The 18,728-nt window shown below is 54.6% G+C and overlaps 1 long non-coding RNA gene across 5 annotated transcripts in view, besides 2 other annotated features; it reads left to right on the top strand.

Annotated features, from left to right (window-relative positions):
* Window positions 1-314: part of a silencer, noted in NCBI's record as "silent region_3327", that runs on past the window's edge. NCBI's record gives its function as "represses an Ori minimal core promoter by ATAC-STARR-seq in GM12878 lymphoblastoid cells {active_cell/tissue: GM12878}" and the evidence as "EXISTENCE:reporter gene assay evidence [ECO:0000049][PMID:35858748]".
* Window positions 1-18,728, top strand: part of SLC39A13-AS1 (SLC39A13 antisense RNA 1) — a 27,668-nt gene extending 8,940 nt beyond the window's left edge. For 2 of the 5 annotated variants that reach the window (NR_182304.1, NR_182308.1), the window contains 2 exons: window positions 4,766-4,853; window positions 16,511-18,728. This is a non-coding gene — a long non-coding RNA (SLC39A13 antisense RNA 1). Of the gene's footprint in view, window positions 1-4,713; window positions 4,854-16,510 lie in introns of all 5 variants that reach the window. The other 3 variants (NR_182305.1, NR_182307.1, NR_182306.1) reach the window with 2 other exon arrangements.
* Window positions 5,478-6,035: an enhancer, noted in NCBI's record as "H3K27ac-H3K4me1 hESC enhancer chr11:47415859-47416416 (GRCh37/hg19 assembly coordinates)". NCBI's record gives its function as "activates a minimal SCP1, AML or CMV promoter by ChIP-STARR-seq in naive and primed H9 embryonic stem cells {active_cell/tissue: H9 hESC(naive and primed)}" and the evidence as "EXISTENCE:reporter gene assay evidence [ECO:0000049][PMID:30033119]".

Raw genomic sequence — 18,728 nt, 5'->3', positions numbered from 1 at the left:
GCAGCCGGGCAGCTCGGGCGCTCCCCTGGGGGCGGGCGGCGCGGGGGAGGGGCCCTAGGGGGGCGGGGCCGGGGGCCGGGCCTGCGGCGGGGGCTGGAGTTGGGGGGCGGAAGCTGCCGGAGCAGATAAGGGCCGAGGTCGGCCCTGCGGTGGGACAGTGCGGGACACCGCCTCCGCCCCCGGCCTCCCCAGAGCGCCCCCGCACCCTGGAGACCCCCTCCTGCTACCCAGGCTTGGCATCCCGGGAGGAGACCCCAGGGAGCAGTGGGGGATGAGGCTCCAGCCTGCTCACAGCCTCAGCGACGAGCGGCAGCGGGGCTTCACGCCTCAGTTATCTCAGCTGGAAAATGGGGGTAGGAGCTCGGTTTTCCCCACAGGGCTGTTGGTGATGGACCAAGTGCAGGCTTGTGAAGGTCTCTGTGGGTTGGGCGAGTTTTGAACAGAGGGTCCTCTAAGCATCGCATCGCCTCATTCATCCCCATTGTATAGATGGCAAAGTGGGGAGTTTCACCCAAAGCCCCAGAGCCAGCATGCAAAAAGCAAGTGGGAGGGGGTTGGAACGCTTTCCACCGCCCCACCCTGGGGACAGATCTAGGTTCCCAGGAGCCTGAAGCTTAAAACCATTTGGGGGGGCACTCTTTAAGGAAAAGATTACAAAGTCACAAATACAAAATTGCTGAGAGGCTGGGCGCAGTGGCTCACACCTGTAATCCCAGCACCTTGGGAAGCCAAGGTGGGCGGATCACTTGACGTCAGGAGTTCCAGACCAGCCTGGCCAACATGGTGAAACCCTGTCTCTACTAAAATACACAAATTAGCTGGACGTGATGGTGGGCGCCTGTAATCCCAGCTACTCGGGAGACTGAGGCAGGAGAATCGTTGAACCCGGGAGGCAGAGGTTGCAGTGAGCTGAGATGATCGCACCACTGCACTCCAGTCTGGGTGACAGAGCTAAACTCTGTCTCAAAACAAAAAACAAAAACAAAACAAAACAAAACAAAACAGCCGTTCGCGGTGGCTCACACCTGTAATCTCAACACTTTGGGAGGCCAAGGTGGGTGGATCACCTGAGGTCAGGAGTTCGAGACCAGCCTGGCCAACGTGGTGAAATCCTGTCTCTACTAAAAATACAAAACATAAAATAAAATAATTAGCCAGGCGTGGTGGCGCTCTCCTGTAGTCCCAGCTACTCGGGAGGCTGAGGCAGCAAAATTACTTGAACCCGGGAGGCAGAGGTTGCAGTGAGCCGAGATTGTGTCACTGCATTCCAGCCTGGGCAATAGAGTGAGACTTCATCAAAAAAAAAACCAAAAAAATAAAAAACAAAAACAAAATTGCTGAGACCCCTTCCAGGGCCTCAGAAGGAGCTGAGCCAGTGAGGAAGCTCAAATGCAGCTTTCTTAGTGTCTCAGCCCCACCATGCAGGCCCCCTGGAAGGGGTTATACCCCTCTCCCAAGAAAGTCAGACACCAACAAGCTTAGAGGGCAGGGTGGCCCAAGGCAATATGTCAGGGAGGTGCCGCTGCAGCTGGTCCCCAACCCCTTGCATGCCCAGGCAGCAGTCCCTCAGCCCAACCAAGAGCAAGGGCAGTCAGGTATTTGCAGACTGCAGCCTCAGCCAGGCAGGGCCAAGCCCTCCAGTCCCATCCAGTCATGGTTCAACTTGCCACCCAGGGCCCCAACCCTGCAAGCTAGGAAGGTACAGAAGAACTCCTAGGAGAAAAGGAAGGAGGGGCTCTCAGGTATATGTAAGTGCATGGGACTTGGAGTTAGACAGGATTGGGGTTCAAGCCCCTGCAAGGCTGTGTGACCTTGGGACATCTCTTTTCCCTGGGTTTCCTCGTATGTAAAATGGGAGTAATAATCGTACCTACTGGACAGAGCCGGTGCCTGAAGGAGGGCTGGGCCCATGGCTGTTAGAAACACATTTCCCTCCTGTGAGATCTCCAGGCCAGGAGAGGCATTTTCTCCCATTTTCATGTTGTCACTTACCCAGGGGGTGGTCTCTCCATTGCAGAGCTGAGATTTAAATGCGGAAATGTCTGGTGCAGATGCACTCAGGTCTCACCACCAGGAATGCTGCCTCTTTGGGCCTGTCTCCCAGGGAGTTAAGTCCCACTGTTACGTGTTCATGCCCAGGGCTGAGAGCCAAGGGGAGCCTGGCTCATCCCCTTTCTGGATTTTATCATCTCTCTGGTCCCATGGGCACCTGAGGCTGGAATTTTTTCAACTCTGATATCCTCCAGCCTGGACCAGGAGAAGCAGGACAACTGAGAATAGGGACAGGGTAGGGGAGCTGGGAAGAGGTGGTGGCCGTGGGCCTGGAGGCAGCAGTGAGACTCTAAAAGGCTTGAAGTCTTTTTCCAAAGAGATGCTGCTTTGCCTCAGGGTTTGCATGGGACTTCCACTGGATGGGCACACAGGAAAACTGAGTTCTCATCTCAGCATTGCCCCTTTCTTTTACTTTTTTTTTTTTTTTTTTTTTGAGACGGAGTCTTGCTTTGTCACCCTGTTACCTAGGCTGGAGTGCAATGGCATGATATCGGCTCACTGCAACCTCCGCCTCCTGGGTTCAAGCTATTCTTGTGCCTCAGCCTCCTGAGTAGCTGGGATTACAGCTGCCCGCCACCATGCCCAGCTAATTTTTGTATTTTTAGTAGAGATGGGGTTTCACCATGTTGGCCAGACTGGTCTCGAATTCCTGACCTCAGGTGATCCACTTGCCTTGGCTTCCCAATGTGCTGAGATTACAGGTGTGAGCCATTGCGCCCGGCCAGTGCTGCCCCTTTCTAGCCAGCTGAGCTTGCACCTGTCAGTCCTCCCCGAGCCTCAGTTTCCTTATCTGTGAAATGGGGATGAGAATACCTGCATCGTCAAGGATTACAAGATGCTGTGTATGTAGAGTGCCTGGTGAATACCTCTAGTTATTAAGACAGTCTCGGGGCAGCAGTGGGGATGTCATGTGAGGGGCACAGAGTGTGAGCAGAACTGGGGAGTCCTGCCAAGGTGGGAGTTGGGGCCTCTAAGGTTTCTGTCCCAGAGAGGGAGCACCTTGAGGGTGGGGCTGGGAACCTCAGCTTCAGGACTCCTCCAGGTCAGGAAGGGCCAGAGGGAGGCCAGGGAGGGGCCCTGGGGGTTCTCAGAGAAGAGTGGCGAGCTGGAGTGTTCACCCCAACTCAGGCAGGTGAGAGGGGGGCGACAGGTGGGTGGCCGCAGTGTGTTGCCGGCCAAACGATTACCCCAAGGCCCCACTCCACAGCCTCATTTGTCCCTCATTGCAAACTTCTGAGCTAGGCATTTCTCCATTTGTTTATTTACTTATTTTATTTTATTTATTTATTTATTTTGAGACAGTCTCACTCTGTCACCCAGGCTGGAGTGCAATGGCATGGTCTCGGCTCACTGCAACCTCCGCCTCCCGGGTTCAAGCTATTCTCCCGCCTCAGCCTCTCAAGTAGCTGAGACTACAGGTGCGTGCCACCACACCTGGCTAATTTTTGTATTTTTAGTAGAGATGGGGTTCCACTATGTTGGCCAGGCTGGTCTCGAACTCCTGACCTCGGGTGATCCACCTGCCTCGGCCTCCCAAAGTGCTGGGATTACAGGCGTGAGCTACCAAGCCCAGCCTTTTTTTTTTTTTTTTTTGAGACAGAATCTCACTCTGTCTCCCAGGCTGGAGTGTGCAGTGGCACAATCTTGGTTCACTGCAACCTCCGCCTCCTGGGTTCAACGATTCTTCTGCCTCAACCTCCCAAGTAGCTGAGTAGCTGGGATTACAGGCACGTGGCACTGCACCTGGCTAATTTTTGTATTTTTAGCAGAGATGGGGGTTTCACAATGTTGGCCAGGCTGGTCTCGAACTCCTGACCTCAGGCGATCCACCTGTCTCAGCCTCCCAATGTGCTGGGATTACAGGTGTGAGCCACTGGGCCCAGCCTGAAATTCCTTATTTTATCTTAAAAAAATCATACAAGTTTGCATCCTTCTCTTTAATGTGTGGGGATTTCCCTCCCCTTTCCTAAAACATCTTCCTCTCAGTCTTCTACCTGAGTGGATGTTCCGAGAAGATACACCCGGGTTATGTCCTGAGGCTGTGGACATCTCATGCCCCACGGTGACCTCCAGGCCCTTCAAGCCCCAGGCCCTGGGCCACCTGGTCTGGCTGGGGAGAAGTTCAGGGATGGCTGAGGTTGATGGTTGAGGGCCTGCCAGCTGTCATGGCCTGGGGCTGGCCCCATCTCTGCTCTGAACTCTGCTGCCTCTCCCTCTCATCTTGGCTCCCAGATGTTTGTCCATCCGGCTCCAAGTGTCCCGCTAGGAGTTCTCAGGACACCTCACCCCTCCCTTTGTCCACTGAGGGGCCTTGGTTCAGAGGGGGCACTGCCTGTCTTCTGTCTTCATCCCTGTCTGCTGGGCAGCCTGACCACGCGACCCAGGGCTTTCTGTGCCAATTAAGAGGAAACTGAGGCCAAGTGGAGAGGTGCCAGCCCGGGGAGTGCAGCGAGGAGGGCTGTTGGGTGTCCAGGGGCGGGTGTCTCTGGGTAGATGGGGGTACCTAGGCCTGAAGAGAGATCTGGGTACTGGCCAGGGAGGCAGGAGGAAGGAGGGAAGGCCGCGGGGCACCCGGGGGCTGCTGCCTGGCAGGTCCCCATGCCCAGGCAAGGGAAGTTTGTTATTTCTCTTGCTTCGACTTCCCCCTTTGATTTATTATAGCCATGAAATGCTCTGCTCTCTTCTCTTTTCCTTGCTGTCCCTGGGGCTGGAGGAGCACGGGCCTCCCCGGGAGTGGGCTTCAGCCTCCCTAGACTCCTGTCTCCTTCCAAGGGCTAGGCCTGGGGGACCAGAAGCAAGAGGTGAGTGACGGCCGGCAGGGTGGGAGGAGGAGGGCCCATGCCTCCCCAAGGCAAGGTGGGGCAGGACCCCCAGGGACCAGCACGGTCCCGGTTGGGAGGGGCTGGGGCCCGGCAGAGGGTGTGGCAGGTGTGGACGTGGCAACAGGCGGCTCCCGGGGGTCTCGGGGGATGGCGGGCTCTGGGCCAATGGCCTCAGTGAGGACTGCCAGGGTCTGAAGGTTGGGCACAGAGTTCCCGGACGCCAAACACTAGGTCAGAGAAATGGCTTTTCTGTGACCCCTGACCCCACATTCTGATTTAAGGGTGGCCAAAGTAGGCCTGGCCCTGGCTGGCCTGGGGATTGAGCTGAGAGCCCAGAAGAAGGCTGAGGCCTGAGGCCTGGGGGACTCTGGGCTCCTCCAGGCCGCGGCTGGACATCCCCCTGAGGCCTGGCCCAGGCTGGCGAGGGCCGGAGGCTGTGTCCGGCTCCTCGGCAGGCCTGGTGGCCGGAGCGTTTCTCTGGGCCGCTGTGCGGTGCCTGTGGTAATGGGCTGTTGGCGTTTTGCAATGGGCCGGGGGTGGGGAGGCGGCGCACACATGCTTCCTGTGGTGACTGGGCGCTTCCTGTTTTCTCAGGCGCCGGCCTTGCTGCTGCCGATGTGGAAACAGGGGCAGCTGCAGCCCGGGCGGCTCCAGGCTGGGCGCTGTGACCCTGCCCAGAGGGGCCTACGTGGGCCCAGCAGCCCTAGGCCCCAGACCCCAGACCCAAGCAGTGGTGGCCCGAGTTTTCCCCCACAGCAGGCCACCATCCCTCCCTTCCCTAACAGCTTCCGCCAAGAGGAAGGGGCCAGGCAGGTGGTCTCAGAGGTCGGAGGTCAGAGGTCCAGGGGTGAGAGCGCTAGGAGGGGAGTCAGGGCACGTGGCTCTGGTCTCAACTCTGCGCTCGCCAGGCGCCACCGCCATCTCTCCCGCTCCAGGCCCGCCTTCCTCTTTCCTGCAGTACCTCGGCATCCATGGTCTAAAACCCCTCGCCCATTCCCATCCCGGTTCTCACATTCGTTGGGCTTTGCATTCCCAAGAGCCAAAGCTTTGGGGACAGCACTGAGGCTGGGGCCTTGGAGGTGGAACCTGGTGTAGACCTTGGCAGAGAGGGGAACAGGCGAGGCCGGTGGGGGTTCCACACTGGAGCAAGGCTTGGAGGTGGGAGGAGCAGGCCCATGTTTTGCAGACAGGGTGCTGATGGAATCTGGGGCGGCGGAGGCCACGCTGATCTGGGAGGACTAGGCTTTATTCCTGCAAACCTTGGGAAAGGGCCTGACACCCCCTCGCACACTTCCTCAGAAAGAAGACGCGGTCATTTGCAGGGTGGGGCAGGACCAGCCCTTCCCAGCTGCCGAGGAGGTGGATGCTGGTGTGGGGTGACGTGGGCACCTCAGGAAAGACCCACGCCTCTCCCACCTGCCAGCCTGCCTGGGGTCAGGCCTTCGGTGTCCGAACTGCCCTTTCCCCGAATCTGTTGTGTTTTGTTTTTAAGCTGATATTGCAAGAAGGGGAGGGAGATGACTTTGCTTCTGGTCAAGTTTGCTGACAGCATCTGACCTCGGAGGAAGAGGCTCTTTGCGAGAAGGCCGAGCCCTGTGCCCCCTGGTAGTGGCCAGTCCACCGGCTAGGCTCAACCATCCCTTTGGTCCAGGAGGTTCAAGACGACGGCTCCACAAGAAGCTCCCCTAAAACCCAAGTCCCGCCCATCACATCACAGTCCCAGCCAAAGAGGCCTTGGAGAACCCAAGACCCCTTGACTCAGCCTGAGGGGCCGTCAGGGCAGCCTGGCCCTCACTGTCCTGTTCCCTGCCTTGGTGTTTCAGGCCAGCCTGAGTGCTGAGTTGGCGGCTCAGCAGCTGCTCTGGCCACGGAGGCCCAGTTATAAATAAGCCCAGGGTGGCCGAGTCATCATGTTCTGAAGCTCCCCCAGCCCAGCTGCATTACCTCAGTGACCACAGGTTGCAACTGCCCAGAACTGGGCCCCCAGAACCCACCGACCCAGGCAAAGGCTGGCTGGGTTGCAGGCATCCTGGGGTCCCCCAATCCAGGGCTTGAGCATCTGTAGCTCCTTAGATCTGGGCTTCCCTGGACACAGGCCACAGAAGGGACAGGCCCATCCTGCCCTACGGAGCCGACAGCTATTTACAAACCGAAACCAGGAGAAGTGAAGTGGCTGCGGCCAAAGTGGCTCCAGGCCCCCAGCCCCCACCCCCACTCCATCCCCAGCAGCCCATCCCCCTCTCCCCTTGGCTTCCTCTTTCCTTCCCCGCACAGCTCCCCCACCTCCCACTGCCTGGCCAGCCCACTCTGGATTGACCTGCAAGCACCCCATGGTGTCCCCCAACCCCACCTCTGCCTGGGGCTCCCCCTCTCCTCTTCACCCCAGGACCCCATCAGTCTGAGCTCCCGGGAGCAGGCCCCCTCCCACCAGGCCCGGCCCACCCTGCACTACACAAGGCCCATTCCCACAGTTCTCAGTTCCCCTTCATGCTTGGAAACACTCCAACCCCGATGGTCACCTCCATGCCACCGGTCCTCGCCTGAGGGCAGCTTCTCAGGATGCCCTTGACCTTCAAGCAGACACGAGAGGGCCCAGAAATCTGGGGTGCTGTGGTGGAGCTGGAGCAGCTGAGGCCGTCAGGGGGCTCGTTTCTGGACAGGAAGCCCCGGCCATCATTCTCAGCCATCCAAGTTGGGTTTTGACCCCCTTGTCAGGCTGGCGCAGGTCATAGGCCTTCACCAGGCACAGACTTGAGCTGGGACAGATGGACGCTGGGCCCGAGCCTAACACTGCTTAGGAGCTGGCTGGTGGGATGGTACTGCCACAGCCCCCAGGGAGAGACCAGACTACACAATAGTCACTGCAGCTAACAGGCAGTTTCCCTCACGTCGGTACAAAGGTTTACAGTTACATCCATTAGTTTATTCTGTCCTCAGAACAAGCCTATTCCATTTCCTCCATCATAAAGTGGAAACTGAGGGCAGGACACAGTAGCTCATGCTTGTAATCCCAGCATTTTGAGAGGTCAAGGCAGGAAGATCACTTGAGCCCAGGAGTTGGAGGTCAGCCTGGGCCACAGAGCGAGACCCCGACTCTACCAAAAAAAAAAAAAAAAAAAAAGTCCAGCATGGTGGCGCATGCCTATAGTGCCGGCTACTGGGGAAGCTGAGGTGGGAGGATTGCTTGAGCCTGGGAGTTTGAGGCTGCAGTGAGCTATGATCACACCACTGCACTCCAGCCTGGGCAACAGAGTGAGACCCTGTCCAAGGTCAGGCAGCTACAAAGTGTCTGGAGATTCTAGATTTCACTGGGGAAATCTAGAACCCAGTGTCCTTCTCTCTTCCTCTGACTGCTCCTTGCTTCATCTTGTACCTTCATCTCCCTCCTGGGAGGGCGGACGTTTTCTAGCGCTGTGACCAGGGCAGGAGCAGGGTTGGCCTGAAGCTCAAGGGGGAAGCAGGGCGTGGACCATAGCACCACCTGTTACCTTCCCTGGCTGGCCATCAGCGCCCAGTGGCCCCTGCCGTCTCCCCCTGCCCTGCCCCAGGGGAGGGATCTTCCTGCCATGTTCCTTCCCTCCTGACCAGTCCCAACTGAGGAGGAGCCCGGCCTGAGCCCCGCTCTGCCGCACCAGCTGGCTGACTGAGCACCCCCGACCTCTCTGGGTCCCACATTCCTCTTCTGCGAAATTGTCATTCCACAAATACAGAGCGCCTACTTGGTGCTGGCCCTGTGCTGGGCACAAGCTGTTTCTACAGCTGGGACACAGCCCCTGCCCTTGTGGAACCCATAGTCCTATGGGGAAGGCAGATAACTTACAAAATCCTATGAGCTCCAAGAGGGAAACCAAGGCAGTGGGACTTAGAGGAGTTATGAGTGTTGCCTGGGGTGGGGAGAGGTGTTACTTGGATGGGCCTTGAAGGACAGAAACGAGTTTGCCAGCAAAAGCAGAGTGGATAGGCTCCATGCTGAGTCACAGCCCTGTGCCTTGGCTCTAGCATTTCCTCTGGTCTGAAGTGCCTTTCTTTGGTCTGGGCCTGGTGAACTCCTATTCATCCATCAGGGCCCATGGACACACCATGGCACAATCAGGCCTGGCCTGGCCTGGTGGCTCCTCAACTCCTTCTTCCCGCCCAAGGCCTGAGCAGACCTGGACGCCAGGCCTCCTTTGTCACAATACCCTCACCAGCCCCACCCAGGCTGGTGTCTGCTCCCTAGCTCCAGCCCCCGCCGTCCCCTGCTCCGAAAAGCACCGTTTCCCTTTTCTGGGTGACCACACGCCATGCACAGGGAATTTCCATCATAGCTTGCGGAGCCTCTGATTCACTCGGGCCCCTCACGCAGTTAACTCCTTCCAGGCCCAGGCCTCCTGCTCCTTCACCCTGGGCTGCCCCCCAACCCCTAACCGGGACCCCTGGGCATCCCTGCACTGTTCTTGGGCCCCAGAGCCTCAAAGCTGAATTCAGCTCCTCATTCACTGGCCCCTCAGGGCCCACTCTCCCTTGTTTGTCCCAAGGGCTCAAGGCACACACTCAGGCAGCCTTGGGCTAAGAGCACAGGCTTGAGAGGAATTCAAGCCTGGGTGCAAATCCTGATTTTGGCCCTTCTTCCTGGAGCAGGTGTAAGCGTCCACTCTGAGCCCCATTTCTCATCTGTAAAATGGATAACCCTATTGTAAAGATCTCATGTGCTGGGCCCATGGTGGGAGCTGTCATTATTAGTTTCCTTGTCTTTTCAAAGGGCCCTGCTCATCTTATCACAGGGTCCCTATTCCAGAGCTAGGCCCTTTTTCCCAGGCTGGCTTTTCCTCCCAAGAGCTGGTTTCTCAGACAGGGAGAGTGAGCGCAAAATGCAGCCCGGGGGCCCCAGGCAGGTGGGGAACCATCCAGGGACAGAGGCTAAGATGCCGCTGCCTCAGGGCCTCCTCTGCCAGCTTCCAGAGCTTCTCTCTGCATTTCTGTTTCTCCGAGTCCGCGGTGGAGAGGCCCAGGGTGGGAGCTTGGAGGGCTGAAGACAGGGCTGAACTTGCTCCCTATGGTGGGATGCAGGGCCTGTCACACACAGATAGCCACATGCTACCTCATCTAGTTCATGCAACCCCGCGAGGTATATTCTATTAATGTTCCCATTTTGCAGATGAGGACACTGAGGCTCTGAGAAGTGAGTGACTCTCCCGTCAGCCACATAGTGAATGAGGAGCGAGGATAGGATTCTAATCAGGGTCTCCGAAGCCATACTCCTAACCTCTGCATTTGTGGAGGTCAATGGAGGAAATGTGCATTTATTGAACTGCTACTGTATACCAAGCAAAGGCTTTCACAGACCATCTCTTTCCGTCCTCAGGACAATGCTGGGAAGTGGGTACTGTTGACCGCTCTGTAAAATTGGAGCATCTGAGCTCTGCAGAGGGGAAGGAACTCACCCAAAGGCCACACAGCCAATCCGTAGGGAAAGACTCAGGGGAACCTAGAGACCAGGGCATGGTGGAGGGGGCTCCACAGGGGAAGGGTCTGGGGTGGGGAGGCAGCTCCTGTCCTCAGTGAGCGAGCAGGGGGGTGTGGTGCTGCCCGTGGTGAGCAGAAGGAAGTCGCTGTGGGTGGCGGTGGGTTTGAGGTGCCGAAGCCTGAGTGATGTGGCCGGGAGGTGAGCGCCCCATCTGTAGAGCTGGTCAGCAGGGACAAGGGTGTGGGAGGCTGGCCAGGATTTGGGATTCAGAGGAGGTCTAGCTGCCCCTGGCCACTGGGGCTGGGGCAGAGTGGGACAAGAGACTGAGGCAGAGCTGGGGAGCGGTGGGGGGAAACTAGAGGGAAGGCGGTCTTGGGTGGCAGCCTGGAGGAGGCAAGCCCTTGAAAGAGAGAGATCTGAGGGTGTGGAAGTGGGTGGGCTTGTGCGCAAAAGCTGGGGAGACTGAGAAAGGTTCCAGGAATGCTGAGCGGTGTCCTCTGGCTGGAGGTGGAGGTGGGGCTGGCCACTTGGGCTGGGGACGGGCAGAAAGGCTGGCCGGACTCCGGGCGTTGGAGGTTCCCGCACAGGCCTCGGAGGTTTGGGCTTCAGCTTGAGGACAGGCAAGAGCTCAGGAAGACTTTTAGGTGGGGAAATATCCATGAGAGAACCTCGAGATAGGGACAGCCACGGAGGCACAGGCCTGAGGGGCCCTGAGAACCACAATCACCTCCTGCCCTGCTCCCGGCTGTGTGCCCTTGGCCGTGCCCCTTACCTCCGGGAACTGCACTTCCGTCATCTGCAGAATGGCACTGACAAGGCCTGCCTCGTACGGTTACGTGAGGGAGGGGTGAGTTAGTGCCCAGCACGGGCACCCTCCAGTGCTTGCCTGTCACCACCCACAAGCACTGGAGCACTGCCATGGTGCAGAGCTGGGGTCTAGGTCTCAGGTGGATCTGGGCGAAAGCCTCACCTACACCCCGGATTGACCAAGCCACGCTGTGCCGACTCACGGCCACTTCTGAGCCTCAGTCTCCTCATGTGTACCACGGCACCAGCTTCAGGTTTGAATAAGAGAGGACACACCCTGCGACACACTCCATGTTTCCTGGAGTCAAAGCCAAATTCCATACCATGGCCTGACCTGACTGGCCCTGTCTGAGCTTCTGCCACTGGCTGTGCCCCCATAGGCCTCCTTGCCATCTCTGGCTCACGCTCCTGCCTGGGGCATTGGCACTGACTAGTCCCTCTGCCCGGAATTCTTCTCCCAGACATCTGCTTGGCTCGCTCCCTCACTTGCTTCCAGGGTTTGCCGGATGCACCTCTCTTGGTGAAGCCTGCCCTGCCTGCTCTCGTGAATGCTGCAAACTGTCCCCGCCCACTCCATCCCCTACCGCAAGCCCCTTATCCAGCTGCATGCCCTTGTTCCTATGGCGAGTGTCACCTTCCAACATGCAATGAACACTCGCTATCATGAGTTCATCGTGGGTCTTGCCCTGCTGAAGAGCAGGCCCATGAGGGCGGGGATGAAGGGCCCTGCCTGTTTGGGCTGCCTGGCATGCAGAGGCCCCGAGTCAATCATTGTTGAAGGCCTTAATGCACTGAAGAGCCAGCCCAGTGCTGTCAACAAAACTTGGGGAGCTCGGAGGGGCCCAGTTGACCCTGGCTGGGGCCCAGGGAGCCTCTCCCAGTGTCTCAACCATGAGAGGAAGTTGCAAGACTGCCATTTCTGTCCACAGGCTCAGCTCTTTTTGGTCAACTTTCCCAGCTCTTGGTCTGAGGCCTGTGTGTTCTCACATGCCTTGTCACACCCTATGGGGACAGGTTGCTAGGAAAGTGGGTGGGGGGACATTTCCTCATTTTCTAGCTCGTTTGGGCCAAGGCTGAGAGATCTATGAGGTCAGGGGTCGTGCTCCCCTCTGTGGACTCAGCTTTGAGGACACCCCCTCAAGTTTCCTGTTGCCCGCCTGCTTTGTGATTGCATTAGCACCCGGCCTGCCCCTATCATCAACCCAGCCAGCAGGGGCAAAGGGCCACACTACCCTAGGCCTGCCCAGCCTCCCTGTCACTCTGCAAGGCCCAGCCCCTGCAGGGTCTCCCACTTGTCTAGTAGGCTGGGAAGCTGCACTGTCTAGCAGGACTGGTAGGATAATGAATAGGTATAACTTTTATTTTTATTATTATTTATTTATTTATTTTTGAGATGGAGTTTCACTCTTGTCACCCAGGTTGGAGTGTAGTGGTGCCATCTTGGCTCACTGCAACCTCTGCCTCCCAGGTTCAAGTGATTCTCCTGCCTCAGCCTCCTGAGTAGCTGGGACTACAGGTGTGCACCACCACACCCAGCTAAATTTTGTATTTTTAGTGGAGACGGGGTTTCACCATGTTGGCCAGGCTGGTCTCAAACTCCTGACCTCAGGAGATCCACTCGCCTCTGGGAGTGCTGGGATTACAGGCGTGAGCTATCATGCCTGGCTGATACAACTTTTGTTAAGGGCAATGTGATAATATCTGTTTCCAGTCTTATTTTTTTTTTTAAGACAGGGTCTTGTTCTGTCACCCAGGCTGCAGTGCAGTGGCGTGATCATGGTTCACTGCACCCTCATCCTCCAGGGCTCAACCAATCCTCCCATTTCAGCCTCCTGAGTAGCTGGCACCACAGGCACACACCACCACCACCACCACCCCACCAAGCTAATTTTGAAAATTTTTTTAGAGATGGGGTCTCCCTATGTTGCCCAGGCTGGTCTCAAACTCCTGGGTTCAAGTGATTCTCCCACTTTGGCCTCTCAAAGTGTTGGGATTACAGGCGTGAGCCACTGCACCCGCCCTGTCTGTCTATCCATCATCTGTCTCAAAATTAACAATGCACAGAGGGCATAGTGGCTCACACGTGTAATCTCAGCACTTTGGGAGGCCAAGGCAGGAGGATGGCTGGAGGGCAGGAGTTCGAGACCACCCTGGGCAGCAGAGGGAGACTCTATCTCTAAAAAATAAATACAGGCCAGGAGTGGTGGCTCATGCCTGTAATCCCAGCACTTTGGGAGGCCAAGGTGGGTGGATCGCTTGAGCCCAGGGGTTTGAGACCCAGCCTTGGCAACATGGCAAAACTCCTGTCTCTACTAAAAATACAAAAAACATTAGCTGGGCATGGTGGCGTGCACCCGTAATCCCAGCTACTCAGGAGGCTGAGGCAGGAGAATTGCTTGAACCCAGAAGGTGGAGGCTGCAGTGAGCCAAGATTGCTCCACTGCACTCCAGCCTGGGTGACAGGGCAAGACTCCATCTCAATAAAATAAAATAAAATAAAATACATAAATACATACATAAAAATTAAAAAATGAAAAATGCACTGTCCTTTGACCTGGTAATTCAACTTTTGGGAATCTCTCCTAGACATCCTCCCTCCTGCATATATGTAATTTAGCATATGTTATTGATTGCTGTATTATTTGTAATAGCAAAAGACTCGAAACAAATGTCCATCAATAAGTGGTTAAAGCTACTTGGGGGGCTGAGGTGGGAGGATCGCCTGAGCCCAGGAGGTCGAGGCTGCAGTGAGCCATGATAGAACCACTACACTCCAGCTGTGTGTGCAGAATGAGACCCTGTCTCAAAAATACATATATACTGATGAGAGACTGGTTAAATAACAATGGAATGCTGGGTGCGGTGGCTCACGCCTGTATTCCCAGCACTTTGGGAGGCCAAGGCAGGGGGATCACTGGAGATCAGGAGTTTGAGACCAGCCTGGCCAACATGGTGAAACCCTGTCTCTACCAAAAATACAAAAATTAGCTGGGAGTGGTTGCCCATGTCTGTAATCCCAGCTACTGGAGAGGCTGAGGCAGGATAATTGCTTGAACCCAGGAAGCGGAGGTTGCAGTGAGCCGAGATCATGCCACTGCACTCCAGCCTGGGTGACAAAGCGAGACTCCATCTCAAAAAGATAAGTAAATAAATAACACTGGAATACTATCCAGCAATGAAAATGGACCATAGCGACACAGAATAACATGGTGGGGAAAAGAAGAAAGACCCAAAAGGATATTTACACTATGATTTTTTTAATATAAAGATTAAAACCTGTTAAAATAAAAACTGAACTATAAGGGAAAGCAAGAGAAAAAGCAAGAGGCCTGTGCGTTGGCTCATGCCTGTAATTCCAGAACTTTGGGAGGCTGAGGCGGGCAAATAATGAGGTCAGGAGTTTGAGACCAGCCTGGCCAACATGGTGAAACCCTGTCTCTACTAAAGATACAAACAATTAGCCGGGTGTGGTGGCACACGGCTGTAATCCCAGCTACACGGGAGGGTGAGGCAGGAGAATCACTTCAATCTGGGAGGCAGAGGTTGCAGTGAGCCAAGATCATGCCATCGCACTCCAGCCTGGGCGACAGGGTGAGACTCCGTCGGAAAAAAAATAAATAAATAAAAAATAAAAGAAAAGCAAGTAGAAAATTACTGAAAAAGTTAGGACAGTGTTATTTCTAGAGGGAAGTAGGGGACATTTGGGGATTCTTCTGGGGTTCTGGCAATGTTTTTTTGTTGTTTTGTTTTGTTTTTTTTTTTGAGATGGAGTCTTGCCCTGTCACCCAGGCTGGAGTGCAGTGGCGCGATCTCGGCTCACTGCAATCTCTTCCTCCCAGGTTCACGTCATTCTCCTGCCTCAGCCTCCCAAGTAGCTGGGACTACAGGCACCCGCCACCACGCCCGGCTAATTTTTTTTTGTATTTTTAGTACAGATGGGGTTTCACCGTGTTAGCCAGGATGGTCTCGATCGCCTGACCTCGTGATCTGCCCACCTCAGCCTCCCAAAGTGCTGGGATTACAGGCGTGAGCCACCGCGCCCGGCCTTTCTGGCAACTTTTTTATTTCTTTACCTGGATGGTGGTTACATAGATGTCAGCTTTATAATTATCTTTTTTTTTTTTTTTTGGAGACGGAGTCTTGCTCTGTCGCCCAGGCTGGAGTGCAGTGGCGCGATCTCGGCTCACTGCAAGCTCTGCCTCCCGGGTTCACACCATTCTCCTACCTTAGCCTCCCGAGTAGTTGGGACTACAGACCGTGCCACCATGCCTGGCTAATTTTTTTTTTTGTATTTTTAGTAGAGACGGGGTTTCACCGTGTTAGCCAGGATGGTCTCAATCTCCTGACTTGGTGATCTGCCTGCCTCGGCCTCCCAAAGTGATGGCATTACAGGCATGAGCCACTGCACCCGGCTGCTTTATAATTATTCTTTAAACTGCACATAAATATTGTATTTACTCTTCTAAATGAACGATGTCTCTCATGACTTAAAAATATCCTGGTAAATCCAAATAGTGGAATACTATACGGCCATTAAAAAGACACTACAGTCAACACTAATTTATAGTGTATTTAAAAATAACTAAAAGAATATAATTGGAATGTTGGTAACACAAGGAAATGAAAAATGCTTGAGGTGGTGGATACCCCATTTACTGATGTGATTATTACACAATTTATGCCTGTATCAAAATATCTCATGTACCCCATAAATAAACACACCTACTATGTACCCACAAAAACTATAAATGGAAAAAACTCAGAAGGACAAGACAGTGCTACATGGGTGTGACATGTATATTGGGGAAAAAAAACAAGGGAACTACAATATGTTTAATGTGCCCCCCTCTGTGTAAAAAATTTTTTTCTTTCCTTTTTTTTTTTTGAGACGGAGTCTCGCTCTAACGCCCAGGCTGGAGTGCAGTGGCACGATCTCGGCTCACTGCAAGCTCCGCCTCCCGGGTTCACACCATTCTCCTGCCTCAGCCTCCCGAGTAGCTGGGACTACAGGCGCCCGCCACCACGCCCGGCTAATTTTTTGTATTTTTTTTTTAGTAGAGATGGGGTTTCACCGTGTTAGCCAGGATGGTCTCAATCTCCTGACCTCGTGATCCACCCCCCTTGGCCTCCCAAAATGCTGGGATTACAGGCGTGAGCCACCACGCCCGGCCCCCTCTGTGTAAAATTTTTAAAAATATATCTGCTACACGCTGTGTAGATGATTTCTAGACCAAAACACAAGATCAGGTAACAAGTGGGCTAGTCTGTGGAAGGGGAACTGGGCAGTTGTTTACCTTTTTTGTACCTTTTGAATTTTGTACCATGTGCACATGTTATCTATTCAAAAAATAAAATAATTAAAAATGATGTTTTTGTTTTTCAGTCCCTAGAGCGTCCAAGATTTTTGGTTTCAAACCAATTTCCTGCTGACCAGAATGAAATGGAGCCACATTCCAGCACGATGCACCTGCTGACCTCCTGCAAGTCAGGGACCTTCTCTGCCCCTCTTTTGCTCTGCTGCAGGAGGGAGAAGCTGGGAATGTGTTCCTCTGGGGTCCCATCACCTCCAGCCAGCCACTGTCCCTGTCTCCCCAAAACCTCCTCGTTGTCCCTCCTCTGTCCTCCTCCTCCTCCATCTGCCTTCGCCCTGCTCTCCTCTTTTTCGCCTGAGGTTCGTGCTGCCTCCTCACCTCTTGTCCTGTTTCTCCCTTCTCTCTGCTCCCTCCTTTGATCTTGCTATTTTGCTTCTCTTTCCCTTCCTCTCTTCTCCTCCCTCCCCTTCCTCCCTGCTCCCTGCCTCAGCTTCTCAGTCTCTCTCCGTTCTTCCTCTAGCTTCCTTCCCTCCCCAGAAGACCCAGCCCTTCCTAGAGCCCCAGAAGCCAGGGTTCATGCCCCAGCTCTCTACCCACACATGCTGTGCAACCCTGGGCCAGTCACTGGTCTCTTGGGCCTCAGTTCAACAGATGGCTGTCTTGGTGATGTGAGATCATAGGGTGGAAGCACCCAGAATGGTGCCAGGCACTCAAAAATTTTTTTCTTTTCCTTTTTAAGGAACTACTAACCGTGAGGTTATGGATTACCAAACCGTTCCTGTTCTTGGAATCTGGGTCCTACTATTCCCAAGAATTTGAATTACCACGGGTCCCTGGGGATGTAAGGGGATGAGGCTTCTGATGTACTTTGGGAGGGGGAGGAGTGGAAAGAGGAGTTGGGAGGACACTCTAGCATTGCCCAGAGGGCAGAGGACATTCTGCCTATTTCCAGAGGTTATTGACCCTGGATCTCTTTTATGGAGTTCCTCACCCAGGCCCCTTGAGCTTGGCCATACTTGAGGCAATGGGATATCTTCCTTCTCCTGGAGCCCCTTGAATCTTAGGCCTCGGGAACACACAGTCTACTGTGTTTCTTGGCTGCACCCACGGAGGACAGCCCCCATACTCCTTGCTTACAACCAGCAAAGACTCCACAGCCATCCCTGCACACGACTCAGGCTCCTTGGCTTGGCACTCAAGGCTCTTTGCTTTCCTGTCCTGCTTTGCTTCCAGCTGCAAAGATGGTGGCTTCCTGTTTTCCTCTTCGTTTCCTTTGCTTAAGTTGATTCTCAGCCAGACATGCTTTCCCCCTGCACGCTTCCCTAAGCCATCCTATCTGGGACCCTGACCCAATCAATGGTTCCCTAATGCACCTTTGAGACCAAGTGTACCTGGCACCTCCTCTCTTGCCCCACTATCTGCTCACATGACCCTCTGCAGGCCTGTAAGCTGCTGGAGGCTCCGAGTATGCCTCATTCATGTCTATCCCCCTTACTAGGCCCAGACCATGGAAGACACTCAATAAAAAGTAAGTGATTAAATGACAACCTCTACGGAAAAGAGTATGGAGATTTCTCAAAGAACTAAAAACAGAACTACCTTTTGGCCAGATGCAGTGGCTCACACCTATAATCCCAACATTTGGGAAGGCTGAGGCAGGTGGATTGCTTGAGCCCAGGAGTTCAAGATCAGCCTGGGCAACATGGTGAAACCCTATCTCTACAAAAAATACAGAAAATTAGATGAGACTACAGGTGGCACACATCCATAGTACCAGCTACTCCAGAGGCTGAGGCGGGAGGATCGCTTGAGCCCAGGAGGTCCAGGCTACAGTGGGCCAAGATCACGCCATTGCACTCCAGCCTCAGTGATAAAGTGGCATTCTGTCTCAAAAGAAAAAGAACTGGCCAAGCATGGTGGCTCACGTCTGTAATCCCAGCACTTTGGGAGGCCGAGGCAGGTGGATCACATGAGATCAGGAGTTTGAGACTAGCCTGGCCAACAATGATGAAACCCCATCTCTACTAAAAATACAATAATTAGCTGGGCGTGGTGGCGGGCGCCTGTAATCCCAGCTACTCAGGAGGCTGAGGCAGGAGAATCATTTGAACCCGGGAGGCAAAGTGAGCCAAGATTGTGCCACTGCACTCCAGCCTGGGCAACAAGAGCGAAACTCAGTCTCAAAAGAAAAAGAAAAAGAGAGAAAAGAAGAAAGGAAAAGAAATATCATTTGATCCAGCAATCTCACTGAGTATCTAACCAAAGGAAAATAAATCACTATACCAAAAA

This window comes from Homo sapiens, chromosome 11, assembly GCF_000001405.40.
Source record: "Homo sapiens chromosome 11, GRCh38.p14 Primary Assembly".
Lineage (NCBI taxonomy): Eukaryota > Metazoa > Chordata > Mammalia > Primates > Hominidae > Homo > Homo sapiens.
This window is presented reverse-complemented; position numbering and strand designations above follow the sequence as displayed.